Source organism: Homo sapiens, chromosome 14 (genome assembly GCF_000001405.40).
Source record: "Homo sapiens chromosome 14, GRCh38.p14 Primary Assembly".
Lineage (NCBI taxonomy): Eukaryota > Metazoa > Chordata > Mammalia > Primates > Hominidae > Homo > Homo sapiens.
Window position 1 is genome coordinate 52,308,414 of NC_000014.9, and position 27,760 is coordinate 52,336,173.

The following is a 27,760-nucleotide window of genomic DNA, read 5'->3' on the forward strand; positions in this document are numbered from 1 at the left end:
AGTGTCAGAACTGGATTAAGCAATGACATTCGGGGATGACAATAATCTAATGTCGAAGTAGTTGCTTGAGGTGAAGGAAGGTATTATTTTGATAGAAACGACACATCATATGTAATGGTTTCCAATCTTCAAGTAAGCATGACAGTTGTAAAACCCTTGTGAAAAGCATAAGAATAGTATCTCCAATCCTCTTGATTGGCTTCAAACAGCTGGCATGACCTGCCCACTCATTAAAGAGTAGAACTGGAAGAGAATTTAAATCATTAACATCTAAGTCCCCGCCTTCTACTAAGTAGGAAGACTATGTCCTCCAATGATGATAATGTTTTTTCTAATCAAAAATCAGCTTCCTTGCATTCTAATATAAAGGTAATACATACTTACAGAAAAATCAACCAAAACAGACAGGTATAAAGAAGAAAGTACTACTTAATTACTATTAATATTTTGTTGAACATCCTTATAGATGCTGTTCTATGCAAATCCTTATGCATATAAATATTGCACTCATACTGTCACCAACAACGGACCCATTTCTCTATGTCTGATTATACTGGGTGTGCGTAATCTTTCCAAACTTTACCAATCTTTACCATCAGACAAAAAGTAAGACTCAAATTTTTCTGAGTGATTTGGTTCTAGTGCTGAGGATGAGCATCTTGCCATGTACTTCTTTCTGGCTTTTAATGGACAGTATGTGCAATATATAGTGGCCTGGAGAATAAATAAGATGGTTTGCTACCATACTCCCAGATATATTGCACTAACTCTGTGTGTCCTTGAGTAAGCCACTTAACCTTTCAATGCCTCCATTTCTTCACATGCAAATGAAGGATTTGGAATAGGCGTTCTTGAGCTTCTTCTCTAGCTATCAGTAGGGGAGTGATGGGGAATGCACCATGCAGATCTGCAGTAGGCATCTTTGGGTGACTAACTCAATAGCCATTCCCAGCCCCTCTCCCTTCCCTGCTTCTATTCTAGAAGAGGCTGGAAAAACCCAACATCCCCTCTGTAGGCCTTTTTTGGAGTTAAGGGATGACAATATGACCAAATTCTGGCTAAAAAGACAGAGGGAAGTCTATCTGGATGCTTCTAGAAAGCCTTTTGCTTTCCTGATGGAAGAAACAGGCACAAGAGAGAGCAAGCTCACCAGCACTGTCTCTCCTTTGCCCCTGGCTTCCATGTAGACTTGATGCCTAGACCCGTGGGACAGTAGTTGGCTTCGTATTGTGTTGGTCCAGCTAAGCAGCATCTGTTACGCAGAATCCTCCCATAGTTCCAGGTTAGCATTGGCCACAAGGGAAATATTGCATGAGATCTGGGAGGCAGCAACCAAGCAGCAGCCATGGTTTTTATGCTGTGAAGGACAACACAAGGCGTGAGGAACATTGGCAGTTCTCACGCATTGTCGCTGACCTGCTGCCTCACCTTGCTGGCATGGGGCAGCAAGACTCACAGTTCCTCCTGCTCCCACCAGATCTCCTCCTATGGCTTCTTCAAGTCCTAAGCCAAGTGCATCTGTAGCTCGGTAAAGGGTGCCAGCATGTTTTGCAGGACACCTGTATTATTGAGGCTGGAGACAGTGAGAGACACAGGCAGATCCGGTCTGTCCTAAAGGACTTCAGTCATTCATGAATTTCAGTTTGTTCTCACAGATTCCAGTCTGTTCTTGCTATCATCCACATCCAACTTTCTGCCCTGACTGAAATCCTGACTGACCTATAGTGACTTCAGACTCAACACTAGAACCGAAGACAACAAACAGCCATGCCAGGACTCCTCCACCAGGTCTCACATCCTGCAAGGTCTAGGGCAGCACTGTCCAGTAGAACTTTCTGTGATGATGGAAGTGTTTTATTGGGCACCTGAGCTGCCCAATATGATACCCACAAGTCACACGTGGCTATTGAGCATTTGAAATGTGCCCAGTGCTGTAGAGGAGCTAAGTTGTTACTCTTATTTAATGTTAATTAATTTAAATTTAAATAGCCAGATGTGGCTAATGGCTACAATATTGGTCAAGGGAGGCCTAGTGCCTAATAATAAATTCCATGTTTTCTTAATCACTCGTAGTGGCTCTGTTTCTCTGGTTGAATCCTGACTGATACAGGCAGCAGCTGCTAGCTACATGGGGAGAGCATGGAGACACAAAGCCAGCATTACTAGGAATCACAGGGCTAGAGGAAGAAGCAGCCTGGCTCCTGGAAGTTCAACCAGCCTACAACCTTTGAACTTCTTAGTAAGAAAAAAAATAGACCCCCAGTGGGCAGTGAACTATCACTGTGTACTTCCAATAAACCCTGTCTCTTTTCTTGGTGGCTTCTGCTTCCTGCCGTGAAGTGTAGACCTTGTCTCAAATACCACAGGACACAGATGGTGTTCTTAGGACTCAATTTGAAAAAAAAATGTATTTATGCATGCATAGGAATCATAAAATATAAATTTAAACTCGTCTTTTGAACGAGGAAAGTAACATCAATAAAACTATGAACAAGAATTAATGTTAGCTTTTTGCCCAAGCAATTCTCCTTTCCTTCATGTTTATCTTTGCTTTCTCTTGAAGAATGACCTAAAGGAAGTAACCCACCTTCCACAGTCCTTTGAATTCATGGATACATAAATGAACACTATGAACTTTAGACTTTAAGAAGTGTATATTAGTCAGGGTTTGCCAGAGAAACAGCCAGTAGGATGGATATACATAAAGATATTTATTATAAAGTATCAACTCATGCAATTGTGGAGGCTGAGAAGTCCCACAATCTGTCATGTACAAGCTGGAGACCCAGTAAAGCTGGTGACAAAGTTTGAAAGTCTGGGAGCTGAAGAGCCAGTGGTGTAGATTCCAGTCCTGGTCTGAAGGCCTGAAAACCATAAGTGTCAGCGGCAGGAGATCAATGTCCCCACTCATGCAGTGAGGCAGAGAGTGAATTTCACCTTCCCCTACTTTTTTAGTCTATTCAAGCCCTAATGGATTGCATGAAGCCCACCAACACTGAGAAGGGCATGTGCTTTACTCAGTCCATCAACTCAAACACTAATCTCCTCCAGAAACACTTTCACAGACATACCCCGCCATCATGTTTAACCAGCTACCTGGGCATCCCATGGCCTAGTCAAGTCGACACATAAAATTAACCATCACATAGTGTTCCCCACATACAATGGCCCCACAAACAGGAACTAAACAATTAGCAAAGCTCTATGGCTCAATTCTAGAATTGAGGGTGTTAATCTGTTTTCTGTTAAGGAACTCTAGGCTCTATGTAAACTGAAACTGTATCAAAATGCTGACACTAAAATTAGAAATGGGAAGAAGTAGCTTTTAAACCACAAAATTAACTGGGGGTAACTGACAAGCAAGATTAGACTTGCACTTAAAGGAACAAACGTGATGGTCCAGTTGCTACGTAGCGACAGCAAACTTATCAACTCTCCTACTCAGCAATCTAGCAACAGGGAACACAGCAAACTGCTAAACCAAACACACACACACACACACACACACACACACACACACATATGTATGTATTCTGTCCAAATGCTGGAAGCAATTAAAAGGAGTAATTTGAACAAGCAATGCTGAGCAGCACAGTAATTAATAGGATACTGGCCTCCCAAGATTTATAGGGCCCACTCTAGTCTTCCTCTTGTCACATACCTTACCACAGGTGAGACACCCTCAGGGCACTATTCACCCAGACCCCATTACCCCTCCATTCTAGACCACCTTCCAGGTACCTGAGATCATGAAATTTCCTGCTCAAATGTTGGTCCCATAACTCGCTTCCAGGGCTTGATCAGGCATCTTCCCTAGGTCCATCCAATCAAGGGTCATTTGCATGTTTGAGATGCATATTCCCAGGACCAAGGTGGCTTTGGGGAGAGAGCTTGGTTATCAACAACTATAGTGTCCACATATTGAACTATACTGTCCACATATTGAACTATACTCTCCACATATTTCTGTGCAAGACTCCTTGTGGTGCAAGACTGAGTCAGGGGTTAGGAAGACAAGGGGGCAGGGGCCTGGGGGAGGATCTTCAACTGCACTCTTGCTCTCGTATTCACAAAAACCAGGGGCCGGCCTGCCACCAGGTACCCATCCAAAGAAAAGCTAGAGACAAATATATAGGAAAGGTTAAATAGTAGGTTTTTGTTGTGAGGGGCCTTATGAAAATTAAAAAGGTATAAAAATATTCGGAAAATAAGCACTGTGCAAATTCAGTGAATCTAAAATCCCTTATTTAATAGTAAAACTGCAGTGCAGAATTATGCTATAAATCATAGTGTTTTCCTATTAAGAAATACTTCTGATTTAAGTTTGATGTTTCCCCATTGCTTGGGGTGAGATGGGGGAATGTTGGAGTAGGGGAATAGTCAGAGATGGATGGCAAAGATTGGTAATAAGTTGTTACTGACCTGCAGAGTTTACAGCTTGAAAGAAAAACTGTAGGAGTTAAGATCCTCTTTCCTAGGAATCCATGCCATGAGAAGTTTAGGGATTGAAGTAGTGCCTGCTGACATGTGAAAACCGGCCTGTAAACTTTGCAAGCGATCCAGTAAATTATGCTTGTTCTAGTGGGAACCACCCCCCCCAACTCCGCATTCCAATCCCCAGGCCAGAATCATCAAAGTTGGCAAAAAATATTCATGGAGAGTAAGCAGGCTGTAGCAAGATAGGCTCTTCAGCAGGCAATCTTTGCTTCCTCCCACGTTATGACTGTCTTTCTTGCCAGTTCCCTAGGCAGATCAGACCCTTCACTTCCCAGTTGGCCTCCCTTCCCCAAGTGAATGTGACTTCTTACAGAACACAATTACCTATGTTGTCTGCCAAACTGGATTTTGTTTTGTTTTGTTTTGTGTTAAATATCAGCCCATTTTCACGACTCTGCAATTATGACAATATGTGGTAGGAAACCATTACTGTCAGCTCCAGTCTGAAACTGGCCACTTACCAATACACTTTGCCAGGAACAAGTCTTTCTGGATGGATACTACGTGGTTAACAACATGTAAAGATAAACGGCTAAACAAAATATCAACATTTTCTTACAAGGCTCAGCTTAAGGACAGAACAGTGATGTGCAATGGTTTTCATGTTGTATCCACAAACACAATTCTGTATAAGACACACTCCTCTTTTTTTAATGGTTGCTTAAACAAGTGGTTATCCGTTATGCTGTTGACATAGGAAACGGTGAAATGCTAGTAACCGAATCAAAGCGGCAGTGCAACAGGCCGCTCGGTGGTGCGCATTGTGTGGTTTGGTTCCTTGGATGGACACACTTGCTTTACGCTTCATCCCAATTTTTGTCCCAACCTCTTAGTGTATCTTCCTGGGAATAGTAAAAACAAAGCAAAACATTCTGGTCTTACTTCAAGCTGCCTTTGCACTGTTATTCCCTTGTTCCGCTCATTTCACGGGATTGGGTTCTCCTAACTTCATTGTTTGGTGAGTTGCTTTGCTTTGCTCGTTGCCCCGATCTTCTGTGTATTCTGCGCAGACCCCGCAAGTGCTCCTGCACTCCCTCCCAGCCCTCTGCTGGGGCTTAACGCTTCCCAGCCGAGGTCAGACTGCCGTGCGCTTCGAGTACCGGACCCCGAGGAAGCGAGAAACGCCGCTCCCGCCGGTCGCGGGCAGCTTCAGTACACCGGCAACACGCGCGCCTCTGCCCAGTGCCGCGCCCAGCGGGTGCTCAGACTCCTTCTCTCCCTCCCCGCCGGCGCGCCCCAGGGACTCGGAACGCCCCCGCGAGTGTGACGCGTCCTGCCTCCCCTGCAGCTCGCGGACACTCGCACTTGCAAGGCCTGGCCAGCACTCTTGGGCCCGCCCCCCGACAGTGCGGGGGCGGAGACGACGGCTCCCCTAGGCTCTGGCTCCCGGCCTTGGCCGGCGCGGGTAGGCGCGGGAGCCTCGAGCGCCGCTCGGATGCAGCAGCCGAGCCGCCACTCGGCGCGCGGCGGGAGACCCAGGGCAAGCCGCCGTCGGCGCGCTGGGTGCGGGAAGGGGGCTCTGGATTTCGGTCCCTCCCCTTTTTCCTCTGAGTCTCGGAACGCTCCGGCTCTCAGACCCTCTTCCTCCCAGGTAAAGGCCGGGAGAGGAGGGCGCATCTCTTTTCCAGGCACCCCACCATGGGCAATGCCTCCAATGACTCCCAGTCTGAGGACTGCGAGACGCGACAGTGGCTTCCCCCAGGCGAAAGCCCAGCCATCAGCTCCGTCATGTTCTCGGCCGGGGTGCTGGGGAACCTCATAGCACTGGCGCTGCTGGCGCGCCGCTGGCGGGGGGACGTGGGGTGCAGCGCCGGCCGCAGGAGCTCCCTCTCCTTGTTCCACGTGCTGGTGACCGAGCTGGTGTTCACCGACCTGCTCGGGACCTGCCTCATCAGCCCAGTGGTACTGGCTTCGTACGCGCGGAACCAGACCCTGGTGGCACTGGCGCCCGAGAGCCGCGCGTGCACCTACTTCGCTTTCGCCATGACCTTCTTCAGCCTGGCCACGATGCTCATGCTCTTCGCCATGGCCCTGGAGCGCTACCTCTCGATCGGGCACCCCTACTTCTACCAGCGCCGCGTCTCGCGCTCCGGGGGCCTGGCCGTGCTGCCTGTCATCTATGCAGTCTCCCTGCTCTTCTGCTCGCTGCCGCTGCTGGACTATGGGCAGTACGTCCAGTACTGCCCCGGGACCTGGTGCTTCATCCGGCACGGGCGGACCGCTTACCTGCAGCTGTACGCCACCCTGCTGCTGCTTCTCATTGTCTCGGTGCTCGCCTGCAACTTCAGTGTCATTCTCAACCTCATCCGCATGCACCGCCGAAGCCGGAGAAGCCGCTGCGGACCTTCCCTGGGCAGTGGCCGGGGCGGCCCCGGGGCCCGCAGGAGAGGGGAAAGGGTGTCCATGGCGGAGGAGACGGACCACCTCATTCTCCTGGCTATCATGACCATCACCTTCGCCGTCTGCTCCTTGCCTTTCACGGTAAGTCACTCCCTACGTTTCCACAGCCCGGCTCTGCTCAGCCTTCTCATGCTCTCCCCTGACGCCTCCACCCTTTCCACCGCCCTACAAACTTTTTGCAACTTGTAAAAATATGTCCTAATTTGTAAAGATCTGTAGCCTTCCCCACTAGTTTCCCCTCCTCTTTAGCCCACTTCCTTATCCTGGCTTATGGGCGTTGCTAGGCTAGAGTTTCTTATACAATAATACAGACCGTCCGAAAGGGAGTCCTGGGCCTCAGCTAAGCTAGCCAATCTCCTCATCCTAGCCCTGGGCAGTGTCCCTTTCTCGCTGTTGCCTATCTTGGCTTAGTAATTGAGAAAGAGGCAGCCCCTTCCACCTTAGGATGGCTGTCACTGTTCCAGCCTGACGACCTGGAGCTGCAGTTTGCTGCCCTGTACCTCTCATCCACTGGTGCTGGTTCTCCATGCTTGCCTTCTGTTCCTGCCAGGGCAAAATGTAGTACCCAACCCATAGCATTCCAGCTGCCATTGAAAATGGTCCCAGATGAGAAGGGTCCCTGAAGCAGAAGTTTAGAGCATTTGTTATTTGTCCTAAAAGTCCAACAAACATCTAGTTTATAGGTTTCCCAATTTATATATTTGAATGTAACTCTTTGTGGCCATGAAAGTTTATAAAACCATAATGATAACTAGAGGAAATACTTGGAGGAACATCTTGCTAAGCATTTGTAATATCTTGCAAAACACGCTCTTAATGTCACTGTCAGAAATACACACAGGTGTCCTTCAGCTTACAGTTATGCACTTGATGAGCACAAAGCCACAGGCAGGAATGGCTGGTCCCTCTCAGGAAGGGAAGAGTGGGGCTACCTGGGGAACTGAAGGACAAGAGACCAAGTCCTGGCATCGTGCTGCCTTGATTTGGGGCAACTTTAGCAGTTATTTGATGCTAACTAACTGCTAAATGATATGAGGCTGTGAGTTCAAGTCTCCTCAAGTGTAACGTTTTAGCTGAGCCTGGAATATGTCCGAGAATGTGCTGGCCTCTTACGGGGGCTAGGAATTGGGAGTTGTGGCAACTCCACTTCCTAATCTTCAGAAGAGCAAGACTGATGCTGCAGCATCAAAGCAGTTAATAGTGACTTCCACCTGCCACAATCTTGGAGAAAAGAGATGGGCAGTGCCTACTATTAACAGGTCTGACCTGTAAAAGCTGGAGGAGAAGTAACTTTATCCTATCTCCTGCCTCCATTACTGCTTCTTACATCTTCATGTGCTCATCCTCAGGGATGGGAAGGGACACAGGGTCCCAAAGGTCTGAATATGATTCTCTCCTCCCCAGCCCAGTTAACTCCCTTAGCTACGTTCTCTTCTCCCTGGTCCCCACTGTCCTCACCCTTCTACCCCATCCTCTGTCAGGGCAGAAACTGTTCTGAATTGGTTACACTTTGAGGGAATGAGATAGAATATTCAAAGACGCCCTCTTATAAAATGAAGTCGGACTGTGGGAGGCTGCATCTCCCATACCACTCTGAGCAGGGGAGTTTATGCAACAGAAACGCTGTGATGTAGAAACCCACATGGCTTATATGCTTTTGATTTATTTTACTGGTAGGAGCTTTTGATTATGTTAGGAGCTAAATCAGCTTTTGAAGGTCAGCACTAGGATGCAGAACATATATCTATGAAAGAAAGCATTTCAAGTTCCACCAAACAGCTTTGCATTCAGCTTGGGGATCAGAAACTATTCCTGAAAGACTGTCTTAGGGTGTTGGGAATTAAGATAATCAGTTCTTAGGGTTTTATCTGTCATTTGTGAGTATATTTATAAAAATATCCCCCACTATCAGCTACTTAAATAGCCTGGGAATGGGTTTGGGGTGATAACACACTTGTGAAACGATTTTTAGTCTCTTTCCTACACGAGCAAGAGGAAAAAGTTCTCCTCTTTGATCATGACTGACCCATTGCATAAACTGTATTTTTTTTAAATAAAGGTAGTGGTTTCCAACAGGTTGCCCTGTTTTCATGTAAATTGGCCTTTTACCATGAGAATTCCATCGTTGCCTTATGTTTTTGTAAATTCAAATATATGTGTGTGGATATAGATATAGATATTGTTTTCCCTCCCTCAGTTAATATTAGGCCAAGGGCTGCTCCAGAGTTGCCAGATAGAAGGGGCTTAGCCACAGAAATCTGGCTAAAAGGTGTTGAGGGAGTAGGAGCTTTGCTTTGAAGCTGTGTTTTTATTTCAATTTCCTGTTTATGGCTTAGGGGGAGCCAGATGGAGACTATGAAGGGGCTTTAGCTCCCCCAAACCACCTCTAAGCATTGACACTATCAGCAAACTGCTTTTGCTTCTGGCAAAGATTCCCAAAGAGCCGGAGAAAATCCTAGTGTGAACATAATCAGAAAGCCAGCCTCCCTGACTTCCATTGTTGGAGCTACCATGACACCATATTCAGATGAACTATACACAAAATGGAAATTGGAAGCATTGTCACCTCTTAGTAAGAAAATTTATATTGACCACTGATGGATTTTATTTTGTCAATAGATTATTGGGAATAATTGCTAGTATCTTTCACTTACATAGCACTTTAAGCTTTATGAAATGCTGTACTATCTTGATTTAAGTTATTTCTTGAAGGGCTTATCTGAAAATTCAAGCTCATGGCTACTGTTTGGTTCATACATTCTGCTGTTCAGAATCCTTGGCATGTGCCTCCAGGGGAGGTTGCTTTTTCCTCCAAGTCCTTTTATTCTACTTGGCCCACACTAAAATTGTGGTCAGAAGTGGCCTATACCAATCTCCCACCTGAAGCAGGAATCATTTCCACATGTCCTAACAGGGGGCTCTAGAAGCAAAGGTTTATGGTTGCCTTCAGAAATGTTTCTGTTTCTCTAACGGAGTGCACATGATCTGATAGAAATACAGTGTGAACCACAAATGCAAGCCACAAACGGAATTTTAAATGTTCTAGTAGTCATATAACAAAAAGTAAAAAGAAACAGAGAAAATTAATTGAATTACATATTTTATTTAACCCAATATATCTAAAATATTATCAATTCAAAATATTAGTTATGTAAAATAATTATTAATAAGCTATTCCAAGTAAGTTTCTTCCTTGTATCCCAGAAAATAGTAGCAATCTACTCTATCTCTTCCCACTCCTTCCTCAGGATAACAAGCTGCTTTCTTTGTCCCTCAAAAGTGGACCAAACCACTGGCAACAAGGAGGACAGCTGTACCCAGTGGGACACCAGTCTATTCCACAGCACTCCAGTAGTGGACAGAGGAGGGAAATGGGGGAATTCAGAAACCTAGAACTACTAATGTCAGGCATTGTCCCAAGGTTTGGGCAGGTTGGAATTACTGCTTCCTCCAAAGATGCCAGTCTAGGGCTTCCAAAATTTTGGAAGTAAAACTGTAGTTTTTTTTAAAGGCCCAGTCCCTTCAAGTGAAGTCCAATTCAACCTCATATGTCATTATTATCGACCACAAAATCAGACTTTTGAATGCTAACTTTTGCATTAACCCATTATCTTCACAGCACCGTAGGAAATAGTATGATGATTTCTATCGTACAGACGAGGCAAATGACTCACCCTGTGTCCCACAGCTAATGGGTGGTGGAACTGGGACTCAAAGCTAGGCAATTTAAGCACTGAGCCAATTAACCTAACCACAACACTATCCAAGAGAAAGTACTCATTTCAGGGGTAACAGATGAGAAGATTAATCTAAGATTTCATAAAAGAGCTGTGAGAATGTTATAAATATCTGGACCACTTTGCCTCTTAATTCCAACTAGTTAGCTTTAAAAATAAAATGGCAAAGACCTTTTTCTTCATGTCAGCTCAAGGGAGCTGAGCCAGGGCCAACTATGTGGTTCCCTTTCTTTTCTCCACAGACCTATGAAATAAAAGGCTGAGACTCAGATTCTAGGAGATTGGCTAATGTAAATGCTGGTCTAAATTAAGAAATAATCAGATTATCCCTCACATAAAATCTTTCATCAGAACAAATAAAACATCTCTTAAGTGACCAAAAACCATGTGGTGTTTGGGAAATGACATTATTTTGGCTGCCCAGTATGAAATTCTGCATGGAACCAACAACATATTCCAAACTGTTTATTCACTAAAGGGATATTGTATAAATTAATAAATTCCTCCTTATGTTAATCAGCTTTGCCATCGTTTTACAGAGATAAATAGAAACTTTCTTCCTGAAATGGAACAGAACACAGGAAATATATGAGACCTCTATTCTTGCCTCAGATACTGTTTGTGTCTTCATATCCAACTCATATCAAGCCCCTTTCTCGCCACTTTTCTAATTGTGGATAGCTTCTGGCCATTTTAAACTGTTTTCCACATGCCATGAGGATAAAGTGCTTATGTATTTTTATTCAGTTCTAAAATTTCAAGAGTAAACCATTGACTCATACTAAAAAGTTCTCCATCTTTAGAAATTCTTTAGGGTTATAACTTCTAGGTAAATCTGATTAGTGGAAATCTGATCTTGGCAATACAAAACAAACTCCAGTAAACAGTACTAGAGTTTCCTTTTCATTCCTGGTACTCATTATGTAAAATATAACATGAATGGGGGTTGAAAAGCTGATATGACATTGGTAGATTATATACATGCCAAATATAACAATTCTGGTAGGAATGAAAAAGAACTCCAGACATCTCTACGTATAACCACAATGAACTTTGCCTGGTGATAGTTTAAGTTAATGTCCATAAACAACTGGAAGGCCCTTTATCATTTAAGCATCATTAACCATGTGTTTGGGGATCGATGAGACAGTTTTAATACACATGATGTTTTAAGAGAAAGTTCCTCTATATGAGTGTTTTCACTTGACGTCTTTTCTCCTTTGCCATTTGATATTATGAATGCTGATTTGAATAAAGACACAATTACACTGGTTTTAAAAATGTAAACAGAAAGAACCTTAGTTCTTTTCCCAAAAGAGAATTTGTGCATTATGTCCACACCTTTGGTCAAGTGGGTCCTCACTGCTATCTCAGATGGTTTAGACCAGGTCCTCAGCTTAAAGAGAAACACCTTCTGGAGATGGTATATTTCTTCTTTGGCATATCAAAAACCAATCACAGTATTAAGTTTAAAAAAAGAATAGAAATGGTGAGACCGTGTTTCAGGAAGGCAATGAACAGGTCTCTTTCCAGCTAGAGGCTTAAGACCCAGTTCATCTGCAACTCAGTCTGCTCAGTTGGCTTCTCCTGTCCTGTTTTGAAATTTCTGACCCTCTACTCCCTGTCCTTATCTTGAGCTCAAGTCCATTGTACCTCAGTTTATATTATCAAGGTGTACCAAGCTCCATTTTTCTGAGAATATTTTGCTGCCTAAAACTGCCCCTAACAGAAAACTAAACCTAAGAACCTTGCAGCTGGGACATACATGTGATGGAAAGGGCCAGGGATCGGATAAGCACATTTAGAAAGGCTGAAAGTTCCTCTAGAGCAGGGTCCATAACCTGTGCTGCATGGAAAGTGCCTGGATTTTCTGCCTGAATTCATTTGCAAAAACGTTTATATGAGTTTATGTTTATATGTTTGTATGAGTTGTGGGTAGATGGTTCATAGTGTCCATCAGTTTGTCAAAGAGTTAAGAGCCACCATCTTGGAATAAATAGGCCCAGAGGTCTAAACCTTAGCATTTGCTCTTTTTTTGTTTCCAGTTCTGAGAAGCACAAGACAAAGGACACTAGTCCTGGAGCCACATGGATCCAGTTTTTCCTATTGCAGGAAAATAGGCTTCTGTTTCCCTCTACCACAAAGCACCTGTGATTCAGGCAAAGGGACTTCTTTAAAGCATCATATACCTGAAAAATAATCTCCCCCCAAAATGTTTTTTTTTAAAGAATGAATTAGGCAAAGTCTATAGTCAGGACACCTTAGTGTCTTTCAGAAGGCAGGTAAACATATAACAATCTATGCTTGCAATTTAGCTGTGGAAAAGTGTGGAGGAAAAACAAGTCCCAGAGAAAGCTAAGTAGCTACTTAGAAATAGCCATGGTTTTTCAGTCCATAAACAGGAACCATGATATCCATAAACTTTTGAAGAGAAATCTTTGAAGAGAAATCTCCTCCAAACCCATAATGTGGTCAGACATTTGTGAATTTCATGCTAAGCTTTACATTACAGGCTTTTTATATAGATGGCAGCAGAGTGTCTAGTGGCTAAAAGCCAAGTTTGGTGTCCCATGGATTCAGTTTGACTCCACATTTTCTCTACTTACCCAGACTGTAATTCTATGCAAAGTAACTGATCTTCTAAACCTTCATTTCCTTCTAACATAGGAATAATAATACTTCGTAGGTTTATGTAAATATTAAACAAAATATGCCTTATAAATTGCTTGGCACCATGCCTAACACACAGTAGGTGTTTAATAAATGTTAGCTGCTATCTCTAGGGGATTCCATTTCAAGGGAAAATCAGATTGTATATTAATGGTCAGGAAATGAATTCTGAAAGCTCAAAGTCATTTGTTTGATTGACCTAAGTGGGCCTTTTGTTTTTAAGTGTGATAAATGAATAATTTTAAACTATTCCAGGTTTTAGATAAGGTTCTAAAGGGATGTCTCACACCCTGGCTGCATATTAAAATTACTTGGAGCACTTTGCAAACCTTGATGCCCATGGCTCAGCCTAGACTAATTAAGTTGGAGTCTCTGGGTATCGGGGGAACTCACCCCCAATATTTCAACTTAGGTTCTTTCTATTTTCCATAAGTGTTGGCCGGCTGAGAAAGAGAAAGAGTACGAAGAGAGGAATTATACAGCTGGGCCGCTGGGGGTGACATCACATATCTGTAGGACCATGATGCCCACCTGAGCTGCAAAATCAGCACGTTTTTATTAAGGATTTCAAAAGGGGAGGGGGTGTAAGCAGGGAGTAGGTCACAAAGATCACATGCTTCAAAGGGGAAAAAGGAGAACAAAGATCACATGCTTCTGAGGAAACAGGACAAGGGCAAAATCAGAAACTCCTGATAAGAGTCCAACAAAGATCACAAGGCAAAGGGCAAAAGCAAAGATCACAAGGCAAAGGGCAAAAGCAGAATTACTGATAAGGGTCTATGTTCAGTGGTGCACGTATTGTCTTGATAAACATCTTAAACAACAGAAAACAGGGTTCGAGAGCAGAGAACCAGTCTGACCTCAAATTAACCAGGGTGGGTTTTTTTCCCCACCCTAGTAAGCCTGAGGGTACTGCAGGAGACCAGGGCGTATTTCAGTCCTTATCTCAACCGCATAAGACAGACACTCCCAGAGCGGCCGTTTATAGACCTCCCCCCAGGAATGCATTCCTTCTCCAGGGTATTAATTATTAATATTCTTTGCTAGGAAAAGAATTTAACAATATCTTCCCTACATGCATGTCAGTTTATAGGCTCTCTGCAAGAAGAAAAATACGGCTCTATTTTGCCCGACCCCACAGCCAGTCAGACCTTGTGGTTTTCTTCCCTTGTTCCCTGAAAATCGCTGTTATTCTGTTCTTTTTCAAGGTGCACTGATTTCATATTGTTCAAACACATATGTTTTACAATCAATTTGTACAGTTAACACAAATATCATAGTGGTCCTGAGGTGACGTACATCCTCAGCTTACGAAGATAACAGGATTAAGAGATTAAAGTAAGACAGGCGTAAGAAATTATAAGAGTATTATTTGGGAACGGATAAATGTCCATGAAATCTTCACAATTTATATTCCTCTGCCGCGGCTCCAACCAGTCCTTCCATTTGGGGTCCCTGACTTCCTGCAACATCTGGGGAAGGGAGAAATGCCTCAGAATATTTTTATGCATGTATGTATGTATGTATGTGTGTATGTATGTATGTATTTATTTTGAGACAGAGACTCACTCTGTCACCCAGGCTGAAATGCAGTGGTGTGATCTCAGCTTACTACAACCTCTGCCTCCTAGGTTCAAGCAATCCTTCCCCTCAGCCTTCCAAGTAGCTGGGATTACAGGTGCCCACCAACACGCCTGGGTAATTTTTGTATTTTTTAGTAGAGATGTAGTTTCACCATGTTGGCCAGGCTGGTCTCAAACTTCTCACCTCAGGTGACCTGCCTGCCTCGGCCTCCCAAAGTGCTAGGATTACAGGCGTGAGCCACCGCACCCAACCTATTTTTAAAGCTCCTCAGGTGATTTCAATGATCGGCCAAATAAAGCCCTCATTTGCTCTAAAATTCTGAACCCACTTTGTAATTGCATTAAAGATAGAAAAGTAGCGCAAAAGAATAGTACCTGGTCAGTGCCAAAATGAAGTTTTCTATGGGAGGCTGCTTCTATACATGACAATGCTAAAATAGCACTAATTCTCATCTGTGCCACTTTGTAAATGTCACAACAAGGCTTTACCTTCTTAACAAAGCCCTGTAGAGACAGCCTGCCCTGAGGAATTAAAATTCACTTGACTCATTGGGATTAGCACTTGGTATTTTTCTCATAACAAATACATTGGTAGTGCACACAAAAAGATGGATAACTTCTACCAACCTCTGAAACTGAATTGCCGAATATCACTGACATATTATTAATTAATTATCTTATATCCTTTGTGACATCCTTTAACTAAAAACTCAGGACTGGCCGGAGGGAGAGGAGAATGGGCAGTTATTGTTTAATGGGTACAGAGTTTCAATTTGGGATGATGAAAATAATTCTGGAGATGGTAGTGATGGTTGCTGTTCTTTGTTCTTTTACGTGGATGCAGTCAAGTGCATCCACAAGAAGAGACACAGGAGATGTTCAGGAAAACACAGACATGGTGGACCACTCAGGGCCACATGAAAAAGCATCGGTTTCAGTCAGGAGGCAGAGAGGCAGGAGGGTGGGGAGGACCTGGGCCAAGCCTTTATTGGAGTTTCCACAAGAAAGGCAGAGCAGGGTAAACAGTTTAGGATTGGTTAGGTTGAATAATTTCAGCAGGCTCTAAGCTATAGGGGTGGTCCCTAGTTGCCTGGTACCTGGCATTGGAATGATAAAAGCAGAGGAATAAATATTTCCTTGATAGAAGAGTTCTGGCCCTGGATAGGTTAGTCTGTATATCAAAGACATGCTCCCAGCCTAACTCTTTGCTATCTCTACAAATTAGCTAGCCCCGGAGGGGCATTCTCTCCCAGCCAAGAAGAATTTAAGATGTCAAAGCATAATATGCAGAAAAGTGAAAATATAAACAATATGATTGCCCCACAATGTAAATGTATTTAATGTATAGCTGAAAATGGCAAAATGGTAAATTTTATGTTATATTTATTTTACCACAATTTTTTAAAATCCCAGTATCCATAAGATCAAAAATATAGTAATCTAGGCAAAAGACAAGAACCAAAAGAAAAAAATGGGGAGGTAGAAGACAAAACTTACATCAAGAATTTCGAGGGTCACTGAAGTATGTCTCTTCTCCAAGTATAAAAGAAGGAACTGGCTGGGCGCAGTGGCTCACACCTGTAATCCCAGCACTTCGGGAGGCCAAGGCAGGCAGATCACTTGAGGTCAGGAGTTCAAGACCAGCCTGTCCAACATGGTGAAACCCCATCTCTACTAAAAATACAAAAATTAGCCAGGCGTGGTGGCGGGTGCCTGTAATCCCAGCTACTCAGGAGGCTGCAGCAGGAGAATCACTTGAACGCAGGAGGCAGAGGTTGCAGTGAGTGGAGATCACGCCACTGCACTCTATCCTGGGCGACAGAGTGAGACTCCATCTCAAAAAAAAAGCCGTCTTCTACAAAATATTGGTCACCTCCAAAGTGCAAATTTTAAGCAATTCTCAAAATTACCCAGCATAGTAGATGATAAAGGAAAGGAAACAGTACAGAATTGCTTCATCCTCTACAACCAATTTTCACTTCTCATTATTCTGTCACGCTCTAAAGACATTCAGGAACTCTGATGTGGGTTATTCTCCCCTGAAAACCTGACTCATCTTAATGTGTGAAGCTGCAACACCAGAGGCTATGCCTTTTCTGCACTTCTTGGCTGGCCAATTCAGTGTGAATATGTTCTCTGGTTAAACTAGATCATCAACTCAGCTGCAGGCCCTTTCTACAGGAGTGCTCAGTTATGCATCATGTGCACACGTGTGTGTGCATATGTAATCACTAATATGTGTTTTAATCTGTAGACCTATGTGCATCATTATCCTGAATTTCTTACCTCCAAATCACTCTTTTAACACACCAGCCTGTGTAGTTTTCATCCAAAATAGTTTAACTGACAAGAAAGCTATTGCTCCATTGCACCTCCTCACCTAGCTTTCCTCTACTCTCTGGGAAACCCACCATCAATTCTTCTTTTTCCTTACTCATCTGCCAAATCTTTTCTCCATTCCCTATGCCAAGATTCTCCGGCATAAACACCTATGGCTGCCAAACCTTCCTGCTCTTGTCCCAACATAAGCAAACTGAAGATGACTACCCTTTGCGCTCTCTGCAATTTGCTTTGTATATCCAGTTGCCAGATGCCTGCAGAGTAAGTACTCAGAGAAGGGAAACAAGCTGCTCCTTCTTCTGCAGAAGGCGAGTGAAGAAAAGAGGGGCTAGGTGTCTAAAGCCATTGGTAAGAAAGACCCTGGAGCCTTATAAAGCACTGGTTTTAAATGACTAGGTGTGATCTACCTTTGTTTTCCTCTTTTCTGTGAATTTTGTAGAAGTGTGATCTTTATCAAGATGCATTATTCCATTCCTTCCAACCTGCCCAAACATTTATGTTGCTCCCTAAATAACTAAGAAATCGTTTGAGGGCTGGTAGAGCAGTTTGGTCCATATGTAAAGATGTGTCAGCTTTCCAGTGTTCAGGACATTGTTCTGAGGCCTTTGCTCTAATACAGGCCTGCACGTAGCACACAGTGAGCACTGCACTGGCATCAGGAGAGTTGGAATTTGCATCCTGATTTGGCCACTAACCAGCTCTGGGTACTTGAGCAAATTATCTAATTTTCTATACCCCAGTGTCTGCATTTGTAAAATGGATATAATAACAATGAACACTGTGGAGCACTTAGGATGTGAGCACTGATCTAAGTAGCTTACACATATCACTTCCTATCATCCTTTCAGCAACTCTATGAAGTGGGTATGTTATTATTATCACCCATTTTAAAGATGTCAAAACTGAGGCACAAAGGTTCATTATTAATATCTTGCCATTGATCTCAAACTATATACAGAGGTAGGATTCAAACCCAGTCCAATGGCCAGAACTCATACTCCCACTCAGGGTGTTCCATTGCAGACCCTGTCTCGCTGAATTGTGATCATTAGATTTAGTATTTGGAAGTAAATGTAACATGTTATTAGTTTTCCTGAAGTTCACTTCCCTATCTGTTAAAAAGAGACAATCTCTAAGTTTCAGAGTTTCTATAAGGAGTAGAGATAAAGCGGGGTTAGTACCCAGAACAATTCATGACACATATATTAGGTTATTGATACACTGGAGCTACTAATATTATCATTATTATTTATATTGTTAAAAGATTCTATTCTAGATGACAAGAAAAGTTTATTTCTCTCCACTCCCAATGACACCAAGACATTGTGCATGGTGTTAATGTTAATTGCATTCCACAGAAAACATGCTTTCATTGAGTTCAAGGGGAAAAAATACATTCATTATGTTACAGTTTACATAAGGAAGAAAGGTAAGATTCCCAACCCCCACCTTTCGTTCCCCACCACTACCACAGACAAAACATGGTTTTGCTTTTAAATCTCAAGACATAACATAGGGTCTAAGCCTGTCTACTGCTACGATGTAAAACTAACATCATTTTTCCCCTTTGCTTCTTACAGATTTTTGCATATATGAATGAAACCTCTTCCCGAAAGGAAAAATGGGACCTCCAAGCTCTTAGGTTTTTATCAATTAATTCAATAATTGACCCTTGGGTCTTTGCCATCCTTAGGCCTCCTGTTCTGAGACTAATGCGTTCAGTCCTCTGTTGTCGGATTTCATTAAGAACACAAGATGCAACACAAACTTCCTGTTCTACACAGTCAGATGCCAGTAAACAGGCTGACCTTTGAGGTCAGTAGTTTAAAAGTTCTTAGTTATATAGCATCTGGAAGATCATTTTGAAATTGTTCCTTGGAGAAATGAAAACAGTGTGTAAACAAAATGAAGCTGCCCTAATAAAAAGGAGTATACAAACATTTAAGCTGTGGTCAAGGCTACAGATGTGCTGACAAGGCACTTCATGTAAAGTGTCAGAAGGAGCTACAAAACCTACCCTCAGTGAGCATGGTACTTGGCCTTTGGAGGAACAATCGGCTGCATTGAAGATCCAGCTGCCTATTGATTTAAGCTTTCCTGTTGAATGACAAAGTATGTGGTTTTGTAATTTGTTTGAAACCCCAAACAGTGACTGTACTTTCTATTTTAATCTTGCTACTACCGTTATACACATATAGTGTACAGCCAGACCAGATTAAACTTCATATGTAATCTCTAGGAAGTCAATATGTGGAAGCAACCAAGCCTGCTGTCTTGTGATCACTTAGCGAACCCTTTATTTGAACAATGAAGTTGAAAATCATAGGCACCTTTTACTGTGATGTTTGTGTATGTGGGAGTACTCTCATCACTACAGTATTACTCTTACAAGAGTGGACTCAGTGGGTTAACATCAGTTTTGTTTACTCATCCTCCAGGAACTGCAGGTCAAGTTGTCAGGTTATTTATTTTATAATGTCCATATGCTAATAGTGATCAAGAAGACTTTAGGAATGGTTCTCTCAACAAGAAATAATAGAAATGTCTCAAGGCAGTTAATTCTCATTAATACTCTTTATTTATCCTATTTCTGGGGGAGGATGTACGTGGCCATGTATGAAGCCAAATATTAGGCTTAAAAACTGAAAAATCTGGTTCATTCTTCAGATATACTGGAACCCTTTTAAAGTTGATATTGGGGCCATGAGTAAAATAGATTTTATAAGATGACTGTGTTGTACCAAAATTCATCTGTCTATATTTTATTTAGGGAACATGGTTTGACTCATCTTATATGGGAAACCATGTAGCAGTGAGTCATATCTTAATATATTTCTAAATGTTTGGCATGTAAATGTAAACTCAGCATCAAAATATTTCAGTGAATTTGCACTGTTTAATCATAGTTACTGTGTAAACTCATCTGAAATGTTACAAAAATAAACTATAAAACAAAAATTTGAAAATGGAGTAGTATTTTATGAACTCCCTCAAATAACATTTTGTGATTAATATAAACATAGTATCTTTTAAATGAGTTCAAAGTGGAAAAATTATATTTAATTTGGCAGATTCGTAAAGTGTGGTTGCCAGGTTTTAAAGTGAGGTTGCAAATTAGAGTTTAAAATATTCATTATAATACTTGGTATTAGAAGATATTTTTTTCCTCCAGTTTTTACCCTTCCAGTATGATCTTTAAAATAGTAGAATCATCTTATTTTTTTCATAGTGATATTATTGGATAGCCACTCCTTAAAAAAAAAAAAGAGATGCTTGTTTTCTCCAAAGTCTCATTGAGTTGTTTATCCAAAGCTATTTCCTTTAAGCAGTTATCAAACTAGCTGATCACTTAGAATGATTTCAAACCAATCTAGGCATCAGTGTATTTTGATACAAACAATCTACGTCAAATCAGCTCTTAAGAAGAATAAATAAGTGGTTTGCTTTTCTACAAATTTAAACAAGCCAGGCAAAATTTAACTTAACTAAAATCTAGACATGTAAATAAATCTTCCCTGTCCACCAGGCATTCTAAAGTTAAGAAATTATTCTAAATGGGACTAATTAGGCCCATGGGTAATTCCTAAACATAAAATTCTGAAGTTGCTTTGAACTAGAAGATTAATTACTTTTATCAGATGACTTGTTTTTCTCCAGATGAAAATGTCAACTACAATTTTTCACCCCACCTTACTGCCCCCCTAAAATCCCAGAATAATGCCTGAGAACTGAAAACAAAAACACAAAATTGGACATAATATCACTAGCAGGAACAAAATGATTTGCTCTGGAGCCCAAAGTATAAGAATTTAAGCCACTTATTTAAGCACTGGTATATTTCTAGAACTCTGTTTCCTCATGTACTCCTGTTCCATGTACTGTGCTGAACGACTAAATCCTGGTATTTCATTTATACCAATATATATGTAGAAGGAGTTGAAAGTAAAAATACTCTGTAATAGTCATTACCTCCTATTAATGGCAATTTAAAGGTAGCTTAGAAAAAAATTACTAAAATTAGATATGTAAATATTCCCTTTCTAAAAATCCTGTCACATCAGACATACCTGTTTAAGTTACTGTTTCATCATCAAGTTAAATAAAAGAACAGAATTTACTTAGCCTGATATATTAAAGACTGAATTGTGATAAAAGAAGATCTAGACTTTATTCTTTGCCCCTAGTAGTCAGAATGAAAAGGGAGAAAGAAACCATAGTCGGGATTCCCTGCAGCATGCCAGCCCTAAGTTTAGGTGTTTCGATATGAGATGGACCAAGCTCTCTGCTCTGAGCTGAATTGTTCCTAAATGGTTCAGTGTGGCCCTGGTCATCTTTTCCAAGAAAGAACTGAAAAATTCTGGTGCTAAATTGTGGCCTTGAATCTCCAAAAATCTGATCGGGATCTGAGTTTGTTTAGAAGGTATAAGATGACTCTAGAAGACCTGCATCACAAAGTGGGTTGGACCCATGACAACCCAGAGCAAGACCGAAACTCTAGAAACCACTCCAACTCCAAATCATGATGCTTGCAGAGGTCTCGAACCCTGAGGAGGGAGGGCAAAACTGATTCACATCACTACACGCTCATGTAACTCAGTTACACTTTGGCATCTCTGTCTCCTCAGCATCAGTGCACTTTGAGAGAGGGATTGTCCTAATGCTAATGGCAGGTCAGCTCTGATCTGAACCAAGAAATAACAACACATTCCACTTTAGAATTTGATGACTTTGAAAGGCAAGGGGAGACAATTAGCTCTCACTTAGGCAGAGTTTTGTTTATTTCACTTAGCTTAAGCCAAATCTAATGGTTTTTGGAACTTGGGAAGAGCCACTACTTGAGACAGTTATAGAGAGAGATGCATTCCTCTCTATAAATGAGTATTTCATTCATGTCGACTTGCAATGCCTGCTCTTACTTGCTCTGTTACAACCTGAATATTTGATGCCTCTCTTCTGCCTTCATCAAACACTCACTCCACTGGCTTTCCTCTCAATCACCTAACAGCACTATAATTGATTTTTAAATTTACAAGTCGTTTTGATGACCTAAAATACACACTATGGAAAGAAGTATTATTTTAGCAATTCACAAAAGCTACATTTTAATTTATACATGGGCCAAGGCCATGTATTAGGCATTACTTATTTCAGAAAATTACTTTTTTTTTCCTGGCAGCTTTTGTGTTACTATACAAAAAGAAATTAAGTATATTCTCTTGAATGATATATTTTTATTTCTTATGAAATGTATGTATTATTTAAGGTCAATTTTAGTGGTTTAATTCTGTGATCCATGTATTTCACGGCACATGATAAATCCTAATAAGGTTAGGGATTAGTATCATCTTAGATACCCATTTAGTGGCCCCTCTGACCTCTTTACACACATCTGGCTCTTATTTCTGATTCTCAATGGCGGTGGTGGGTGCTAGGGGTGATGCTATATATTAATTAACTCTGAGTAACTGTCAAGAAAAATGATAATACACAAATGGGACAAATTTGCGTTTCATAGAATGCAATGAAGATTGGTACACATGGGAGAATGTAGAGGAATGAGTAAGTATAAAAGAGAGAGGAGGCCGGGCGCGGTGGCTCACGCCTGTAATCCCAGCACTTTGGGAGGCCGAGGCGGGTGGATCACGAGGCCAGGAGATCGAGACCATCCTGGCTAACACAGTGAAACCCCGTCTCTACTAAAAATACAAAAAATTAGCCGGGTGTGGTGGTGGGCGCCTGTAGTCCCAGCTACTCGGGAGGCTGAGGAAGGAGAATGGCGTGAACCTGGGAGGCGGAGCTTGCGGTGAGCCGAGATCACGCCACTGCACTCCAGCCTGGGTGACAGAGCGAGACTCCGTCTCAGAAAAAAAAAAAAAAAAGGAACAAGAGAGACAGAAAGACAACAGGGCATATGACACCTCACCATTTTGGTGCCCTCCTCCAGATCTTATCCAAGTTATCAGTGCCCATCTAAAAACAGTGGGCCAGAACCAAACACCAGTAATTCTAAACCAGTCTTACCAATACTGAATGCTGATAGATCAGTTCCTGGCTTAATCTGGATATTATGTTTCTATTAATGCAACCTGGGATTACAAAGCTATCTAGAAACCAGGTCCTGTCTTTAAAACCTCCAACAGATGGAAGAAGCAACAGCATTCCAGTTTACATAGAGGAAAACTGGGTGTGCAGGGGTGAAGTGAGTTGGTCACTAGGGACATCCTCATAAGATACCCTTATGATTATGGTGCTGATCTTGCCGCCCTGAAACCACACAGCCATCATTTCTCTCTTGTCTCTTATCTCTTGCTTTTGGATTGGCTGTGTACACTAGGGATAGGGAGCTTTGGGCTTGTCAGTTGAACCTGGTCTTTTGGGTTAATAATTTTGCCCCTGAGATTATGTGCAACTAGATGCCAGTGCCCTACCCCAGAGAACAGTTCTCTTGAAGTGGAACTCACTGCTTTTAGTTATCAAACAACATTTTTACTAGAGTTAATTGGCAATACTCATCTCAGTCCTAAGAGTGTGCCTGATAGATCATGATAAATAAAATGTTTAACAATTCAACAGCAGCACAAGCAAACCTTTGAAGACATAGTGGAGACTTTTTCAGCTCTTACAGAGCTTCTCAGTGTGTCCACATTGTGAAGTGTTCAGAGAACAAGCCAAAAAGCCCTAGAGTTTTGAAAACCCAATGTTAACTTTTTATGTTTTTAAAAATAAATGTCCTCATGTTCCCCGCAGGATGAAAGGTATGATAACCAAAACACTGTGGGCTGCATGTTGTGGTGTACTACTCTCTGACCTGTAAAAATAAATTTTTCTGGTGTGAGTAGGCGTTCCGATAAAAGAAGAGCAAGCCTAATTGTAAACTAGAGACTTTATTCTCTTGACTACCTATTATGGTGATGAGGGAGCTGGACACCCACTCCAAGAGGAAACACTTTCAGATGTTCACATCTTTCCATGACATGCCAGTCTGGAAAACTAAGGAAGGTGAAGAGTCAGATTCCTGTCTTCTACAAATTTCTTCTGTGTGTGTTTTTTGTGTTTGTTTGTTTTGTTTTGTTTTTTGAGCCACAGTCTCGCTCTGTCGCCCAGGCTGGAGTGCAGTGGCCCGATCTCAGCTCACTGCAAGCTCTGCCTCCCGGGTTCACGCCATTCTCCTGCCTCAGCCTCCCGAGTAGCTGGGACTACAGGCACCCGCCGCCACACTCGGCTAATTTTTTGCTTTTTAGTAGAGACGGGGTTTCACCGTGTTAGCCAGGATGGTCTCAATCTCCTGACCTCGTGATCCACCTGCCTCGGCCTCCCAAAGTGCTGAGATTACAGGCGTGAGCCACCGCGCCCGGCCTCTTCTGTGTTTTCAATGAAGTTATAGTGAACTACAATGGCTGCAAAGAAATATTAAGTGGGGAAACAAAATCATCCTGTTATCAGTGTTAAAGGCTTTTTCAAATAATAAGGACTTTCCTTTATTTCTCTATTTGAGCACATTAAAATGCTACTAACTGGAATCCTTCATAGCAGGAATTTTGGATTAAGAGACAAATCACATGGGGAAAAAAGCCTGATAACTTTATTTTTAAACTAACCACTGAAAGGTTAAGTGAGAATCGTGACACTGGGATTGGAATGCAGACGTCTAATCAGGGAGATCTTCCATCTAGGTGAACTTTCCATTACCCAGGCCTCCTGTCTCTCCCCCTGCTCATCGACTCCAACCACACCGGCCACCGTGCTGGGCCAGGAGTACACCCAGCAAGCTCCCATCTCAGGGTCATTGCCCTGGCTGTTATCTCTGCCTGCAACAAATGCTCTTCCTCCAGGCAGCCCTGGCTCACTTCCTCACCTTCTTCAACATTTTGCCCCAGAGATGCCTCCTCAGTAAGGCCATTACTGAACCCTCTTCCTAAAACTACACGCCCCTGCCCTCCCCATTCCCTTTGCCCTCCTCTATCTATGAGTGACCTTAAACATACCTCAAGATTGACTTATATATAATACTCATGGTCTGTCGCCCCCGAGTAGAATGTGAGTCCCAAGGACAGAGATTGCTGCCTGTTTTGATATCTAATGTTATGGTATCTCACACTTGCCAAGTGTCCTATACACGTAGAACTATATCTTATACATTTCAAGGCCTTTTTCTATTTTTTATTTACTCAGTGTGTTAACAGTAGTGAGGGCATATGGGTCGCAGCAACTCGATTTTTGCCTCAGGAGGAAAGAATTCGGCTGAGGGGCATAAGGCAGAGGGAGAGACTGAGGCAGTTTTAGAGCAGGAGTGAAAGTTTATTAAAAAGTTATAAAGCAGGAACAAAAGGAAGTCAAGCACACTTGGAAGAGGGCCAAATGGGTGACTTGAGAGATCCAAGCATGCTGTTCGGCCCTTGACTTGGGGTTTTATACATTGACATAGTTCCAGGGTTTCTGTTTCTCCTCCCTTGATTTTTCCCTTGGGGCAGGCTGTCTGCTTGCACAGTGTGGCCTGCCACATGCAAGGTGGGCCACATGCAAGGTGGTTACTGAAGTTGTGCGCATGCTCATCTGAGGCACTTTTCCCTTATCAGTCATGTGTTCCAAAAAGAGGGTCATATACCAGTTAAACTCTGCCATTTTGCCTCTTAGTGCACATGCTTAAGCCTGCTCACCCAGCTCCCAAGATCTTATTGGGAAGGTGCTGATCATCACTTTCAGGTGTTTTCTATCTATTGAGACACAGCCTTTCCCTGGCACCAGCTGCAACCAATTATTATTTTAAAGAGACAGTTTAACAACCAGCTGACTACCACCTAATGGCTGCCTGACATTCCTGGGGTCGGGGACTCTCCTGTCCAGCTCATGTCTGCCTAGCTACCTACTCTAACAAGTATATTCTTCGAAAGATATTTTGAAAATGATCCCATACCATGTTTTGAATGTGGTAAATCTCATTTAGTCTTCAAAACAACACTGTAAGGTAGGCACTGTCCCCATTCTACAGATGACAAAACGTATTCAAAATTAAGCAAATAGCTCAAGATCACACAGCTTTTAAGGGAAAGTTAAAAAATTAAACTATTTTCTGGCCAGGCACAGTGGCTCATGCCTGTAATCCCAGCACTTTGGGAGGCTGAGGTGGGCAGATTGCGAGATCAGGAGATTAAGACCATCCTGGCTAACATGGTGAAACCCTGTCTCAACTAAAAATACAAAAAATTAGCTGGGCCTGGTGGCACACGCCTGTGATCCCAGCTACTCATGAGGCTGAGGCAGTAGAATCACTTGAACCCGGGAGGTGGAGGTTGCAGTGAGCTGAGATCGTGCCACTGTACTCCAGCCTGGGCAACAGAGTGAGACTCCATCTCAAACAAACAAACAAACAAAACAACAAAAAAGAACAATTAAACTGTTTTCTGATTTCAAGCCAGGGATCATTCTACTGACCCTACATAATGGAGATCTATAATGGCCCTCTATTTCCGACTCTATTCCCCCGGAAGGAAAACCCCATTGGCATGGCCCTGGCCTATCACCACCATATTTGCAGTATCTAGGATCATGTCTGATATGTAGTAGGTGTTCATAAATATTTGTTGAATGAACGAATGGCTAGTGTCAAGGATACAATCTCTGTCAGTCTCTGAAAGACTTCATCTTCCTCCTGTTTTCTTCCCCTCCTCTCTGAACAACTCAATGTGAAGCCCTTTGGGTGGGGCAGACTAAGGCAGGCTTCTGCAGCTGGGGGTGTGAGAGCCCACGCAGGGGCCTGGAGCGGATTGTTCAAGCTCAGGTTGGGCGAGGATGGGGGTGCTGCTGTGCAGAGTATGGAGCCCTAGTGGACTGGGGAGAGTGTTCACACAGAAAGGCAGCCTACAGTGGGCATCAGAGTCCAAAGCAGATAAGAAGGTTATTCACACAGGGGGTGTGACATGGTGTGGGGCACTGGAACCCAAACAGGGAGGGAGTGGGTGCCCTGGTATTGGGTTGTGGGGCCTGAACAGATTGAAGCAGAGGAGGGTGTCCATTCACAGGAGCAGCCTTGCATGGACAATCAGAGCCCAGGGGCCTGGGGAGGCTGTCCACATGGGGTGAACTGCTCTAGGGAGGCAGAGCCTGACTGAGAGGATGGGGCATCCTTGCAAGGGGATGGCCCAGTGATGGGGTTTAGGAACCTGAGCAGGGTGAGATGGGCATGCACTTGTGGGATGGCCTAGCATGAGCTGTCAGGACCCAAGCAGGGTGAGCATGGCCTCCACGTGGGGTGAGCTGGGGACTCAGATTGGGGACTGACAGCTTGAGCAGGAAGAGGGAGGTGTAGGGAGAGGAAGATGTTGGAGATGGGAGATTGGCTACATACAGAAGGATTTATCAAATAAACAAATATATTAAAAATAACAAAAAACAGTTTAGTCACTGTTACAGAAAAATGAAGGGGAAAAAACTGGAATGGATGCTGTGGTGTTGGATTGGAATTGGGATATTGTGTTAGCTCATATTTTTCAATATATAGAGATAAATATGGAAATAAATTCATATGTAAATGTG

The 27,760-nt window shown here is 42.8% G+C and overlaps 1 protein-coding gene across 1 annotated transcript, besides 8 other annotated features; it reads left to right on the top strand.

Annotated features, from left to right (window-relative positions):
- Nucleotides 5,129-5,689: an enhancer, noted in NCBI's record as "H3K4me1 hESC enhancer chr14:52780260-52780820 (GRCh37/hg19 assembly coordinates)". NCBI's record gives its function as "activates a minimal SCP1, AML or CMV promoter by ChIP-STARR-seq in primed H9 embryonic stem cells {active_cell/tissue: H9 hESC(primed)}" and the evidence as "EXISTENCE:reporter gene assay evidence [ECO:0000049][PMID:30033119]".
- Nucleotides 5,690-6,249: an enhancer, noted in NCBI's record as "H3K4me1 hESC enhancer chr14:52780821-52781380 (GRCh37/hg19 assembly coordinates)". NCBI's record gives its function as "activates a minimal SCP1, AML or CMV promoter by ChIP-STARR-seq in primed H9 embryonic stem cells {active_cell/tissue: H9 hESC(primed)}" and the evidence as "EXISTENCE:reporter gene assay evidence [ECO:0000049][PMID:30033119]".
- Nucleotides 5,854-5,963: a silencer, noted in NCBI's record as "silent region_5743". NCBI's record gives its function as "represses an Ori minimal core promoter by ATAC-STARR-seq in GM12878 lymphoblastoid cells {active_cell/tissue: GM12878}" and the evidence as "EXISTENCE:reporter gene assay evidence [ECO:0000049][PMID:35858748]".
- On the top strand, nt 5,899-20,185 carry PTGER2 (prostaglandin E receptor 2). Its single transcript, NM_000956.4, has 2 exons — nt 5,899-6,978; nt 18,808-20,185. The coding sequence occupies exons 1-2, from the start codon at nt 6,136-6,138 to the stop codon at nt 19,039-19,041; spliced, it is 1,077 nt and encodes a 358-aa protein (NP_000947.2). The 5' UTR covers nt 5,899-6,135; the 3' UTR covers nt 19,042-20,185.
- Nucleotides 6,484-6,633: an enhancer, noted in NCBI's record as "active region_8386". NCBI's record gives its function as "activates an Ori minimal core promoter by ATAC-STARR-seq in GM12878 lymphoblastoid cells {active_cell/tissue: GM12878}" and the evidence as "EXISTENCE:reporter gene assay evidence [ECO:0000049][PMID:35858748]".
- Nucleotides 6,654-6,793: an enhancer, noted in NCBI's record as "active region_8387". NCBI's record gives its function as "activates an Ori minimal core promoter by ATAC-STARR-seq in GM12878 lymphoblastoid cells {active_cell/tissue: GM12878}" and the evidence as "EXISTENCE:reporter gene assay evidence [ECO:0000049][PMID:35858748]".
- Nucleotides 16,710-16,759: an enhancer, noted in NCBI's record as "active region_8388". NCBI's record gives its function as "activates an Ori minimal core promoter by ATAC-STARR-seq in GM12878 lymphoblastoid cells {active_cell/tissue: GM12878}" and the evidence as "EXISTENCE:reporter gene assay evidence [ECO:0000049][PMID:35858748]".
- Nucleotides 16,780-16,829: an enhancer, noted in NCBI's record as "active region_8389". NCBI's record gives its function as "activates an Ori minimal core promoter by ATAC-STARR-seq in GM12878 lymphoblastoid cells {active_cell/tissue: GM12878}" and the evidence as "EXISTENCE:reporter gene assay evidence [ECO:0000049][PMID:35858748]".
- Nucleotides 16,970-17,119: an enhancer, noted in NCBI's record as "active region_8390". NCBI's record gives its function as "activates an Ori minimal core promoter by ATAC-STARR-seq in GM12878 lymphoblastoid cells {active_cell/tissue: GM12878}" and the evidence as "EXISTENCE:reporter gene assay evidence [ECO:0000049][PMID:35858748]".

Coding starts and splice junctions, on each gene's coding strand:
- PTGER2 (NM_000956.4), top strand. CDS start 6,136: ATGGGCAATGCCTCCAATGACTCCCAGTCTGAGGACTGCGAGACGCGA. Junction 6,979..18,807: donor TCTGCTCCTTGCCTTTCACG/GTAAGTCACTCC, acceptor TGCTTCTTACAG/ATTTTTGCATATATGAATGA.